The sequence below is a fragment of the Homo sapiens genome, chromosome 3, assembly GCF_000001405.40.
Source record: "Homo sapiens chromosome 3, GRCh38.p14 Primary Assembly".
NCBI classification, from domain to species: Eukaryota; Metazoa; Chordata; class Mammalia; order Primates; family Hominidae; genus Homo; species Homo sapiens.
This window is the reverse complement of record NC_000003.12, coordinates 75612269-75626138: the sequence shown is the minus strand read 5'-3', so window position 1 is coordinate 75626138 and position 13870 is coordinate 75612269. Positions and strand designations below refer to the sequence as shown.

Below are 13870 nucleotides of genomic sequence, written 5' to 3'. Positions count from 1 at the left end.
GCGATCTCGGCTTACTGCAAGCTCTGTCTCCCAGGTTCACGCCATTCTCCTGCCTCAGCCTCCCAAGTAGCTGGGACTACAGGTGCCTGCCATCACGCCCGGCTAATTTTTTGTATTTTTAATAGAGACAGAGATTCACCGGGTTAGCCAGGATGGTCTGGACCTCCTGACCTTGTGATCCACCTGCCTCAGCCTCCTAAAGTGCTGGGATTACAGGCATGAGCCACTGCGCCTGGCACAACATTTAAAATAATAATTGGAATTATGACTCATTACTCTATGGTGGCACATAGCATGGATAAGGAGGACATTGACAAATTTCCAGGAATTTTATATAATTTCTGAAAACATAACATTTTACCCATACAAATATAACACAGGGAAGGTTAGGTATCTCTTTTTATTTGTATCTTATGTATGGTTTTCCTTATAAAAAATACAACCTACTTTACTTGTGAAACATGCCCCACTTTTCTTGCATGCTTAGCATAGAGTTGTTTCTAGTTATTCTATTATTTCTAGTAGTTTTATTTACATATATTGATTATAATTTTAATACTTAGTAATCTTTTATTTTCCAGAGAAAACTGGGAAGTAGACAGTTATAAGCTGTAATATATTAGCATTCTATAGTAGGTTAGAAAATGTATGAATATACCATCTCCCAACATCTAGAGGGAAGTGTTTCCTCATAATACAATTCCTCAGTGTGGCAGAAAAAAACATGTTTATTAACGGGCCAAAATATCTTTAGTCTCTCTGTAAAAATAGGAAGCCAAAAGTATATAAACTTGAATTACTTGTGTTCAGTAATTAATGTTTTAGTATTGTATCTTATTTATAAATGGTCTAGATATTTAATGCAAATCTTTTACTTAGCTTAACTTTAAGGTTAAAAATTACCAAAAGTACTTTGGAGACTATTCTTAGGCAGATTTACTGTAAACAAATTATATTTGAAATAATGTTTTTTGCTTTTCACAAGATGGCACCAAAAGCGAAGGAAGCTCCTGCTCCTCCTAAAGCCAAAGCCAAAGCGAAGGCTTTAAAGGCCAATAAGGCAGTGTTGAAAGGTGTCCACAGCCACATGCAAAAAGAAGATCCACATGTCACCCACCTTCAGGTGGCCCAAGACACTGTGACTCCAGAGGCAGCCCAGATATCCTCGGAAGAACACCCCCAGGAGAAACAAGCTTGACCACTATGCTATCATCAAGTTTCCGCTGACCACTGAGTCGGCCGTGAAGAAGACAGAAGAAAACTACACACTTGTGTTCATTGTGGATGTTAAAGCCAACAAGCACCAGATCAAACTGGCTGTGAAGAAGCTCTATGACAGTGATGTGGCCAAGGTCACCACCCTGATTTGTCCTGATAAAGAGAAAAAGGCATATGTTCGACTCGCTCCTGATTATGATGCTTTGGATGTTGCAACAAAATTGGGATCATCTAAACTGAGTCCAGCTGGCTAACTCTAAATATATGTGTATCTTTTCACCATAAAAAAATGTTTTTCATAAGAGTGACAACTTAATTAGAATCAAATCTATAAGCTTTAAGATTTTATGTTTCTAGTAATTATAATATTAGCTTATTTGACTAGAACTCAAGCAGAATGGGAATTTATGCTTGTTTTATATTCAATAGTGATAACTTTGAAGATATAGTTGTTTTATTATACCAAAAATATTATATTAATCTTATTTAACTAAGTTTTATCCAAATCGTGTTAACTTAAAAAACATTTGATCAGTTCCTATATTTCTAGGAGTTTGCTGAATATTTATTTATAAATGCTTATTTTTTTCCAAGCCAAGTTAGAATAGAGCACTTTTAGAGGACTTTATAAATGAATTTTGCAATGCTCTCCGGAGTTAAGAATATATCACATATACATAACATACTTTAACAGATATACAAACACAAATAGAGATTTCATAGCTTTCATCCTGAAATTTCAGACATGAATCAGGCATAAATATTCTGATGGTTAATTTTAGGCATCTACTTGATCGGATTAAGAGACACACATAGCAGGGGGGTGAGGCGCCCCCCGCGATGCGGGGTGTAAGAGCCAGCCCCTCTTCCCCCCTGGCTCTTAGGACCCCCATCGCAGGGGGGTGAGGAACCCCCCATGATGCGGGGAGTAAGAGCCAACCCCTCTTCCCCCCCTGGCTCTTAGGACCCCCATCGCAGGGGGGTGAGGCACTCCCCGCGCTGCGGGGAGGGCTCTGAGACTGGGGTCTGGGCTGTTCCGGACTTCAACACTCACCCCTTGTCCCCCCGCAGGGCTATGGTGTGTGCTCGGTGGGGCTGGAGTGGCTGGCTTACCTCCTCGTGCCTTACAGCCTGGGCGCCTCAGCCACCTCACTCCTGGGCCTGCTGGGCCTGTGGCTGCCACGCCCTGTGCCCCTGGTGGCTGGAGCAGGGGTGCACCTGCTGCTCACCTTCATCCTCTTTTTCTGGGCCCCTGTGCCTCGGGTCCTGCAACACAGCTGGATCCTCTATGTGGCAGCCGCCCTTTGGGTTGTGGGCAGCTCCCTGAACAAGACTGGACTCAGCAGTGAGTATAGCTGTGTGCACTGGGGGGGGGGGGGAGCGGGGGGGGCGGGGCAGGGGGCTTTATGGCTATCTGTGGGTGGTTGGCTAGACATAGACATCCCAGGGACAGATATGGGGTCCCATGGTCACATAGGGTCCTGTGGACATGGCAGAGGCAGGTGGGGCTTCCTGTGGACACTCTGGGGGTGGAAGGGAAGTCTCATGGACACATTGGGGACAGATGGGTAAGGCATGGACACCCTGGAGAGAGGTATGGGGTTTCCACGCCATGGACATTCCATTAATACCCCAGGGCGGGCACAGGGCCCCATCAACACTGGAGTGTCAGTGTGAAATCTCGTGGCTACACGGGGCAGGTGTGGGGCTCTGTGGACACCCCTTAGGGACAGTTTGAAAAACACATCAGGGATTCTCCCTTTTCATACCAGGGGACAGGGCTTACCCTGGCATAATTGTCATGACACTTGGAGCAGATGTTTTGGTCTCTGCCTCATGGAGCATGTGGTAGGAGCAAGTGGCCCGTTGTACATCCATGGCATAGATACAGACATGGGCCTTTGTATAGAGAGGAGCAGGCCTGCAGCCCCAACCCATTCTGCTCAGTACCAGAGTCCAGGCCCCAGGTCTGGGCTGCTGGGGAACAGGGCCCTGTTTGCAGAAGGCAGCGGGTGGGCCCATGTTCAGCTCCAGGATGCTCCCTGCCCACAGATGGGCACATGCAGTGACACACAGCTAGCACACATGGGCACAGTCCTGCGAGGCACCCATGTCAGTGTCTGTTCTGATGGGCCAAAGCTGTGAACAGTTTTGAACATCATCCTTGGGGGTGTGGAGTGGCAGAGGTCATGCCTGCTGCTGGCAGGGCATAGGCTGGCTCGGTGTCTCTGTCTGTAGCAGGGGCTGGAGCCTCATACTGCACCAGAGTCTCTTGGCCGTTTTTCCCAAAGATAGCCAATTCTGGGCAGAGTCCAACCTGGGTATCTTGGACCCATGTTGTGCCCTGTCTGGTCCTGGCATCCCCTCTGCCCAGCTCCATATCCCATCTCCTCCGGTCAACCCCAGGGGATCCTTGTCTCTTCATAGCAGCACTGTGGGGGTAAAGTCACCCTGCAGGGCCCCAAGACAGGAGTGTTCATGTCCTGAGTGCCTGGTGAAGGTGTTAACAGTGGTCCCTATGATTTGGCAGGTGCCATGCCCACTTTCTCACTTTAGAACTTCAGAAGACAGCACAGAATAGGCATAAGCTCATCTCACCATTGGGAAAAACAGCTCTGGGGAGTTAAGTACCCAAATCACCCACAGAGCCAACATTACAGTCCTGAGAACGAGTGTGCATCTTCTGACTCCCAATCCATTACTCTTGTTGCCCACCCTGGGAGGACTCACTGGAAAGGAAGCCCCACTCTCCATGCTTAGCTTCAGGTTTGGTTTGCAGAGTTGGCAGCTGCAAACAGTTCGATCTCTCTAGTCCCGGCTGAAGAGGAGAAACAGTGCCTGCAAGCTTGGCATTGCACACCTGGGGTTGTGGACAGGATATGACTAAGCACAGAGCTTTCTTCTTTTGAGGCCACGCATGTGGTGCGGAGCGGGACCACCTGCATCCACAAAGCCCGACGCACCTGCTCCTACTTCTGCTTAGCGTGTGAGCAGTGTGGTGACCAGGGTTTCCACCAGGGAGCAGGCCAGGACCAGCTCACAGCACTTTCTAGGTGCTCTCTGGTCCGGGGCTGGGACCCATACAGGGCTTAGTAAAGTTCATAGATGGTAGCTCGGCAGCCCCAGGCCCCAGGTGACACCTCTCCCCTGCCTGCCTTGTACTGCCTGCCTGCAGCACTCCTGGGAATCTTGTATGAAGACAAGGAGAGACAGGACTTCATCTTCACCATCTACCACTGGTGGCAGGCTGTGGCCATCTTCACCGTGTACCTGGGCTCGAGCCTGCACATGAAGGTGAGACTGGGCAGGGTTGGGGGCCCCATGCCCAATGACAGGTACTTCCTTAGCCCCTGCCCTGGCTTCACAGCTTCCTAAACGCCACCCCTTCCCAAGCCAGTCTCTGGGCCAAGCCTCATTCCTGCAGCCCACTGGGTGGCCCTCAACTCAGCAACCCACTTACTGGCCCACCTCCAGCCAGTCTCAGTTTGCCCATCTCTGAGGGGATTTGTGGGTGCATCACAGCCATCCTGTGGGCTGTTTGGTACCCTGTTCTCCAGATGATGGGTCTGTCTCCCTTTATGGCCTGAAGGGGAGCAGGCTCCTCAGGCGCTGCTCCCAAAAGATGGTGGCTCAGTCTAGCAAGTCCCAGTTGCTAAACATTTTTGAAAAATAGAACTAAAGGCCGGGCGCGGTGGCTCCCGCCTGTAATCCCAGCACTTTGGGAGGCCGAGGCGAGTGGATTGTCTGAGGTAGGGAGTTTGAGACCAGCCTGACCTACATGGTGAAACCTCATCTCTACTAAAAATACAAAAATTAGCCGGGCGTGGTGGCAGGCGCCTGTAATCACAGCTACTCGGGAGGCTGAGGCAGGAGAATTGCTTGAACTGGGAGGCGGAGGTTGCAGTTAGCCGAGACGGGGCCTTGGCACTCCATCCAGCCTAAGCAACAAGAGTGAAACTCCGTCTCAAATAAAAATAAAAATAAAAATAAAAATAGAACTAAAAATAGCAGGGAGTGGGCCGGGAACAGTGGCTCATTCCTGTAATCCCAGCATTTTGAGACACTGAGGTGGGGGTATCACCTGAGGTCTGGAGTTCGAGACCAGCCTGGGTAACAGGCTGTGAAACCCTGTCTCTACTAAAAACACAAAAATTAGCTGGGCATGGTGGCGCGTCCCTGTGATCCCAGCTACTCTGGAGGCTGAGGCACGAGAATGGCTTGAACCTGAGAGATGGAGGTTGCAGTGAGCCAAGATCGCGCCACTGCACTTCAGCCTGGAGGACAGAGCGAGACCCTGTCTCCCAAAAAAAAGAAAAAAAGAAAAAAGAAAAGCAGTGAGTGGGCAGGGCATGGTGGCTCATGCCTGTAATCCCAACACTTTGGGAGGCTGACGCAGGAGGATTGCTTGAGGCCAGGAGTTCAAGACCAGCCTGGGCAACATAAGAGACCCTGCCTCTACAAAAAATTTAAAAATTAGCTGGGAGTGGTGGCGCGTGCCTGTAGTTCCAGCTACTTGGGAGACTGAGGTGGGAGGATGGCTTGAGCCTCAAAGATTGAGGCTGAAGTGAGCATGCCACTGCGCTCCAGCAGTGGGTGGGGGGAGGGAGGGAGGGGGAGCGGTGGGGAAACGGAGCGACCGTGTCTCGAAAAAAGAAAATAGCCGGAAGTATGCATACAGATATGTGTGTATGTACTGAGCTATGTTGTAAAATCATTCCTGACTGCGGGTTATAGTCAAAACCCCATGAAAAGCATCACTACAGCCCACGGGTGTGTCAGGGACTCAGTGTTGTGAGCCCTGGGAAGGCAGGGCCTGTGGCCAGCACTTTATCAACACTGGCACATGCACCCTATGAGGCAAAGGGATTTGCATTGTCTCCTTACAGCGTGGGACACTGAGGTCGCCAGGGGCATGGTGACTGTAAGGGACAGTGCTGGATGTGAGCCTCGCCTGCAGGAGGCGGTCCAGGAAGAGTGGGTGGAGGGGCTGGAGAAGTTGAGGGCCGCGTGGCCCGGGAGGCTCCCGGAGGAGGGAAGGGCCTATCTCAGCGAGGGGCATAGGCGGGAAAGGTGTGGGGCGAGGCGGCCGCGGGTCCCTGGCATCCCTCTCCTTACGCCCAGGCTAAGCTGGCGTTGCTGCTGGTGACGCTGGTGGCGGCCACGGTCTCCTACCTGCGGATGGAGCAGAAGCTGCGGCGGGGCGTGGCCCCGCGGCAGCCCCGCATCCCGCGGCCCCAGCACAAGGTGCGCGGTTACCGCTACTTGGAGGAGGACAACTCGGACGAGAGCGACGCGGAGGGCGATCTTGGGGACGGCGAGGAGGCGGAGGCGGAGGCTCCGCCCGCAGGGCCCAGGCCTGGCCCCGAGCCCGCTGGACTCGGCCGCCGGCCCTGCCCGTACGAACAGGCGCAGGGGGCGATGGGCCGGAGGAGCAGTGAGGGGCCGCCTGGTCCCCGGACTCAGCCTCCCTCCTCGCCGGCCTCAGTTTACCACGTCTTAGGTCGGGGGGACCCCCTCCGAGTCCCGCGCTGTCTTCAAAGGCCCCTGTCTCCCCTCCCCCACGTTGGGGACGCCCCTCCCAGAGCCTGGGTCACCTCTGGGCTTCCGCAGCCCCCTCCAAGGCGGAGTGGAGCCTTGGGAACCCCTCGGCCAAGCACAGGGGTTCGAAAATACAGCTGAAACCCCGCGGGCCCCTAGCACGCGCCCCAGCCCCAGAGCAGGGTCAGGGTCTTCTTGCTACCTGGCCCCGCTCCAGATCCCCCCAGCTCTCGGCCGCGGACCTGGGCTGCGTGTGAGCGCGCTTTGCACCTCCTATTCCCAGGGTCCGCCGAGAGCCACGATTTTTTACAGAAAATGAGCAATAAAGAGATTTTGTACTGTCCTGACTGGGGAGTCCCAGGCCGCGGGGGACGGAGCGCCCCTGGGGTGCACGCCTGGCTGGCCCGGCCTCTGGGCGCGGTGGTGGGAGGCCCTGACCTAGGGGGGCCGCGGGGTGTGGGGAGTGCGGAGCACCACTGGGGGCGGGGCGAGGTGTCCGTAGGCCCCGTCCACCAGCCTGTCCTCCCTCCTGAGGCCCCGCCCCCCATAGCTGCCTGCCTTTGCCAATCCCAGCCAGGAGAAGGAAGCGACGGAGCGGCTGGCAGAGACAGAGGAGGGTGTGACCGCGTTGCTGGTCCCCCATGGGTCCTGAGGGCGCGACAGACTCCGGAGGCACACCCTCCAGGGGCCTGTGTAGGCATCCTCGGCCCTCCAGCGACCACCCCCGCGTCGGACAGGGTCCACTTCCGAGCCACGGTGGGGTCACCCTGTGCCCAGTAGGGGCCTTGGAAGTGGTGGCTGGAGGCCAGTTATGCTCGGTTACTACCCTTTCCCGGCTACAGCCTCAGCTGCGATGCCCACGAGAAACAGGCTGGTGGAGGGGCAGACCCCCTACAAGGCCTGAAGGTGCCGTTCCTCCACCCGCTCCTCTTGTGGCCAGAGGAGAGGGACACCCCCGCCATGAAGAGCTCTGAACGATTGGGTGAGGACAAGTGGGGGCCGTGGGAGGGCCATGGAGCCCCCAGCTGCACCCCAGCACGCCCGGGGCTGGCCCACACCATTCCTCACTCCCCACAGCCTCTCTACCCCTGACTTTGGAGAGGCCCTCGTCTGTACCTCCAGGCTCCATGCCTGCCTCAGCATCGCTCTATGGATTCTCCCAGCCCTAAACTGACCCCATCTCTCCTCTCTGCCCTCATGTGAGTTTGGTTCTTGAAGCCTCTAGTGGGCCCTGGGGCCAGACTCTGTGGCCTTGGACAGGGAGTCTCCCATCTGAGCCACAGGTTCCTTCTCTGTTGAGTGTGTGAGGTAACATGTTGGAGCCCTTAGTGTGGCGGCTGCAAGCTCCCCAGGGCCTGTAAGAAACACAAAAGGGTGCGGCGGGAGACTTGACATTTTCTAAATCTGGGAGGGAACGCTGCCTGCCTCACGCTGACCTTCAATGACAAGCAGACTCAGAAGCGGTCCCGAGGTGCCACCATAAGCTGGGTGAAGGCCAGCGCTGTGTGCTTCCAGTTCCCCTTCCGCATCTGTAGACTGAGTGTTCTCTGGAGGTGGCTGGCGACATCCTCCAGGCAGGCTCCAGCAAAACCAGTCGGAGCTGGGCAACCTGACGCTCGGATGATTCACCTCTGAATGGAGGGCAAGGTGATATTTGGAAGGGTGTGGGCCCCTGGGATGCTGGGCGAACGGGGAGCGGGTGCCTGGATTGTGGGCCTACAGCTCTTCCCAGTTCCGAGTCAATTCTAATGTCCATGGTGCCAAGGAACAGAGGCTCTGGTGTTGAGCAGACTTGAAGGTGATCCAGGCACAGGGAGTGGCCACTCAGGGGCTTGGCTCCTGGCTGTGCTCTTCCTATCTGGGCATTTCCCATGAGAAGGCCTCACAGGCCACCTGGCTGCTCCTGGCACACGGAGGATGCCCAGATGCTGACACGTGCCAGACAACACATATGTACACCTGATAGGCCACACACATGTAACATGCAAACACACGTGATGGGTAACACCTGTGACAGACACTACATGACAACACTCGTGCACACATGATGGGAAACACATATCACAGGCTGTGCGACGGGAAACACACATCACAGGCTGTGCAACGGGAAACACAGAGCAGGCAGTGCGACGGGAAACAGCGCAGGCAGTGCGACGGGCCCTGGCAGCAAGCTCAGCAGGCTGGCTCTTTTCGAGCAGGAGAAGAGCTCATTGTAAGGGATGACAGTGGCGTATGTGGCACCTCCCCTGTCCCCATCACCCCCGGATAAGGTGACTGGGTGGAGGTTCTGGACCCCTGAGTGGACGAACAGGTTGTGTCATGGCCTCCGTGTCTGATTGCCACCCTCGCTCCCAAAGCAACTCTGTGATTTTGTCGATCCGCACTGTGGGGATTTTTCTTTTTCTTTTCTTTTTTCTTTTTTTTTGCAACGGAGTTTCACTCTTGTTGCCCAAGCTGGAGTGCAATGGCGTGATCTCAGCTCACTGCAACCTCCATCTCCTGGGTTCAAGTGATTCTCCTACCTCAGCCTCCCGAGTAGCGGGGAATACAGGCGCCCACCACCATGCCAGGCTAATTTTTTTGTATTTTTATTAGAGACAAAGTTTCACCATATTGGCCAAGCTGGTCTCAAACTCCTGACCTCAGGTGATCCCCCTGCCTTGGCCTCCCAAAGTGCTGGGATTACAGACGTGAGCCATCATGCCCAGCTGGGATTTTTCAATTATGTGATTACAAGAATCTCCAGTCCAAGATTTTCCCTATCTTTAAGTTCTCAGTAGCAGGTTAGATAACCTGAGAAATCTCCCTCTTCAAAACACCTAGAAATGCTGGGTAAGAAACAAATGTCATTTTAACTATAGAGCTGAGGCCGGGCAAGGTGGCTCACACCTATAATTCCAGCACTTTGGGAGGCTGAGGCGGGTGGATCACCTGAGGCCAGGAGTTTGAGACCAGCCTGGCCAATGGTGAAACCCCATCTCTACGAAAAATACAAAAATCAGCCAGGAGTGGTGGCAGGCGCTTGTAATCTCAGCTGCTTAGGAGGCTGAAGCAGGAGAATCGCTTGAACCCAGAAGGCAGAAGTTGCAGTGAGCCAAGATCACGCCATTGCACTCCAGCCTGGGCAAAAGAGTGAAACTCCATCTCAAAAAATATATAAATAAAATAAAATAAAATAAAATAAAATAAAATAAATATATAGCTGAGTTCTTCAGAAAATAAGTTAAGTCCCCTAAAGCCAGAAGTGAAGAGGGAAGTGAGAACCAAGGTGGGGACAGAGGAGCTGGTGCTGCAACTGCCTGAGGGCAGGGCTGGGTTGAGCCTTGGAAGCCCTTAGAAGGCAGGGGGTCAGGGTTACAGTCAAGCATGATGAAGTTGGGGCCACAGAAATGCAACACCTTTAGAGAAAGGGACAGAAAAATTTCCACCCAGGGGAACAGAGAAAGGTGAGAAAATTTGAGCTTTAGGTGTTGAACAAGTTTCCCATGAGATCGTTGCGTTTTCAGGCCTCTCTTATATAAATGTGGAACTCCTACAATGAAGTCATGCTACCTGTGTGGTCTAGGAATGCCAGAGTTGAGATATTAGCACTAAAAAGTTGCTTTGGGCCAGGGGTGGTGGCTCACGCCTGTAATCCCGGCACTTCGGGAGGCTGAGGCAGGTGAATCACCTGAGGTCAGGAGTTCGAGACCAGCCTGGCCAACATGGTGAAACCCCCCTCTCTACTAAAAATACAAAAAATTAGCCATACCTTGTGTGCCTGTAATCCCAGGTACTCAGGAGGCTGAGGCAGGAGAATAGCTTGAACCTGGGAGGCAGAGGTTGCAGTGAGCTGAGATTGTGCCACTGCACTCCAGCCTGGGCAACAAGAGTGAAACTCCGTCTCAAACAAAAAGTTGCCTTGGCTTAGTGGTACCCTGGGGCCCCTGGAAAAGCCAAAGAGAAAACCTCTCTAGGTGGCTCCCTCAAACCTGGCCACCCAGGATTCCCCACATAAAGCCCCTCTGAAGCTCAGCTCACGATCCAAAATTACAGAACACACAGGAAACACATCACCGCGAGAAAAGGCAACAGACATAAAAAAGAGCAGGATTCGACACCCGCTTCAAATACCCGCAGCTAGGAGAGAGAAGCTGTCCAACAGGTATGTGAGATAGGCAGCTTCTATAAGGGGCTGCCAGCGATCTCCCACCCTTGACTCTTCACAATTTTGTGTAATTTCCATACCTTGATTGTGGGCTGGACCTAGTGAGTTTCTTTTAACCAACTGAATTCTTATTTTACTTATTTTATTTTATTTTATTTTATTTTATTTTATTTTATTTTATTTTATTTTATTTTATTTTATTTTATTTTATTTTACTTAGAGATAGAGTTGCACTGTGTTGTCCATGCTAGGCTGAAACTCCTGGCCTTAAGCAGTCTTCCTGCCTCGGCCTCCTAAAATGACAGGATTATAAGCATGAGTCACTGCGCTCAGCAGCCTTTGCATTTATTTATTTTTGAGACTTGCTGTATGGCCCAGGCTGGAGTGCAATGGCACGATCTCGGTTCACTGCAACCTCCACCTCCCAGGTTCAAGCGATTCTCCTGCCTCAGGCTTCCAAGTAGCTGAGATTACAGGCACCTACCATCACGCCTGGCTAATTTTTGTATTTTTAGTAGAGACGGTTTCACCATGTTGGCCAGGCTGGTCTCGAACTCCTGGCCTCAGGTGATCTGCCCACCTTGGACTCCCAAAGTGCTGGGATTACAGGCGTGAGCCACCGATCCTGGCTGACCAACTTAATACTAAACTGGCCTGAGAGATTCTCACTGCCTGGTGTCCACACTCCGCTAATGCCCTCCTGTGAGTGAATGTGATGGGCTACAGTACTTTTGAGCTAATAACATGGGATGCTACCTAAGTGGACCTGAACCAGTCAGGCAAGTCTTTTAAAAGAAAGGGACATGGCAGAGAGGTGCTCTTCTGCAGGCTTGGAGTAGGGCAAGTGGACATGGGGCCACATACAAGGGGGCCTGTGGATGCCGAGAGTGGTCCCCGATGGCAGCTTAAAAGAAAACAGGGACCTCAGTGCCCCAACGTAGGGAACAGCCCCTCTCCCCCACTGGCTCTAAGGACCCCCATCACAGGGGCATGAGGCACCCCCCTCAATGAGGGGAGTAAGAGCCAGCCCCTCTCCCCCGCTGGTTTTTAGGATCCGAGGTGGACTCACAGCCTGTTTACCATATTGTGAGTAATATCATCTCCCCTCTGGAAATTATGAACTATTTCACAGATGGGTGTACACCCGTCTGTATTGGGAGTAATATCATCCTCTTCCTCCCTGAATATTAAGAACAGTACCACACGGGTGTTTCTACTCCCTGCGATATTGGGTGTCATATCCTCCTCTCCCACGTGGCAATTAGAGACAGTATCAGTGGGGGCGTGTCCACCTTCTGTGATATTTAAAGTAATATCATCCTCTTCCCTCCAGGATCATGGGAACAATATGCCTGGGGGGTGTACACTTTCTGCGATATATGTAGTCATATCACCCCCTCCGCCTTGGAATATTATGAAGGACCATCTCACAAGGGGGTGTACACTGCCTGCGATATTGGGAGTAATATCAACCTCTCGGCCTCTGAATATTAGGAAGAATATCACAGGGTGGGTGTACAACTCCTGCTCTATTATGGGGAGTAATATCATCCCCTCCCTTTCAGGATATTAATAACAATATCACAGGGTGGGTGAACACAGCCTGTGATGCTGGAATTATTATCATCCTCTCCCCGTAGGGTTATTAGGAACAATATCACAGAAGAGGTGTGCACTCCCTCCGATATTGGGAGTAATATCATATGCTTCTTCCGTGAATATTAGGAGCAATATCACCGAGTGGCTGTACATTCATTGCTATGTTGGCAGTCATGTCATACTCCACCCGCTGGATATTAGGATCAGTGTCACAGGGTGAGTGTGCACCTGCTGAGATATTAAAACTAATATCATGCTCTCCATCCCTGGATATTAGGAACAATATCACAGGTAGGTGTACACCCCCTGCGGTATTAGGAGTAATAACATTATGAATTATTAAACATCAGTCTCATTAATGATTATCAATGGTAATATTAATTAATAGTATAACGTTATTAGTCATTAATGATTATTTTAAATATATGGTTACGCATGATTAAAATTAATTCTTACTATTCATGTCATTTTTAATAATATTTGTTATTAATATTAATGTTAATCATTGTCTTATTACCAACATCACTTACAATGGATTAAATAACACTAATTACTGATATCGTTATTTTATTATTAATAGTGATATTGCTATTAATTATTAATTGTAATCATTAATATTTTTAATCCGCATTAAGTTTTACTGTCTCCACTGTAGTTATTAATATCGATGATTACTATTAATTGTTATTCTATTTATTAATATTAATAATTAATAAAACTGTTCCCGATATCCGTAGGGGAGAGGATATGACTCCCAATATCGCAGAAAATGTACACCCCTCTATGATGTTACTCCTAATAGCCAGGGGGTAGAGGATGACATTATGGAAAATATCGCAGTGGGTGTACATCCCTTCGGTCATCTTGTTCCTAATATCCTGGGTGGGAGCGGATGTTACGACTCCCAAAATCGCAGTGGGCGGAGACCTCCCCCGTGATACTGTCCCTAAAATCCAAAGGTGGAGAGGATGATATTTCTTCCAGTTTCGCCGGGGGTGCACAACACCCCTGTGATATTGATCCTCAAATCCAGGGGGTGTGAGGATGATGTTAGTCTGAATATTGAAGGAGATGTACACTCCCTAGGGATATAGTTCCTAATATCCAGGGACGGAGAGGATGATGTCACTCCCAATATAGCAGGGGGTGTACACCCTTCTGTGACATTGTTCTTAATAGGCAGCGGGGGAGAGGAAGATATCACCCCCAATATCGCAGGGGGTGTACACCCTCTTGTGACATTGTTCCTTCTATCCTGGGAGGGAGAGGAAGATACTAGCGGCAATGTCTCAGGGGCTGTACACACCCACTGTGATATTGTTCCGAAAATCCGGAGGGGGAGAAAATGATGTTACTTCCAACATCGCA

At 51.1% G+C, this 13870-nt stretch overlaps 2 pseudogenes, besides 1 other annotated feature; both read left to right on the top strand.

Annotated features, from left to right (window-relative positions):
* On the top strand, positions 975-1502 carry RPL23AP49 (ribosomal protein L23a pseudogene 49; annotated as a pseudogene).
* On the top strand, positions 2289-7103 carry UNC93B3 (unc-93 homolog B3 (pseudogene); annotated as a pseudogene).
* Positions 5755-6362: an enhancer, noted in NCBI's record as "H3K4me1 hESC enhancer chr3:75668928-75669535 (GRCh37/hg19 assembly coordinates)". NCBI's record gives its function as "activates a minimal SCP1, AML or CMV promoter by ChIP-STARR-seq in naive H9 embryonic stem cells {active_cell/tissue: H9 hESC(naive)}" and the evidence as "EXISTENCE:reporter gene assay evidence [ECO:0000049][PMID:30033119]".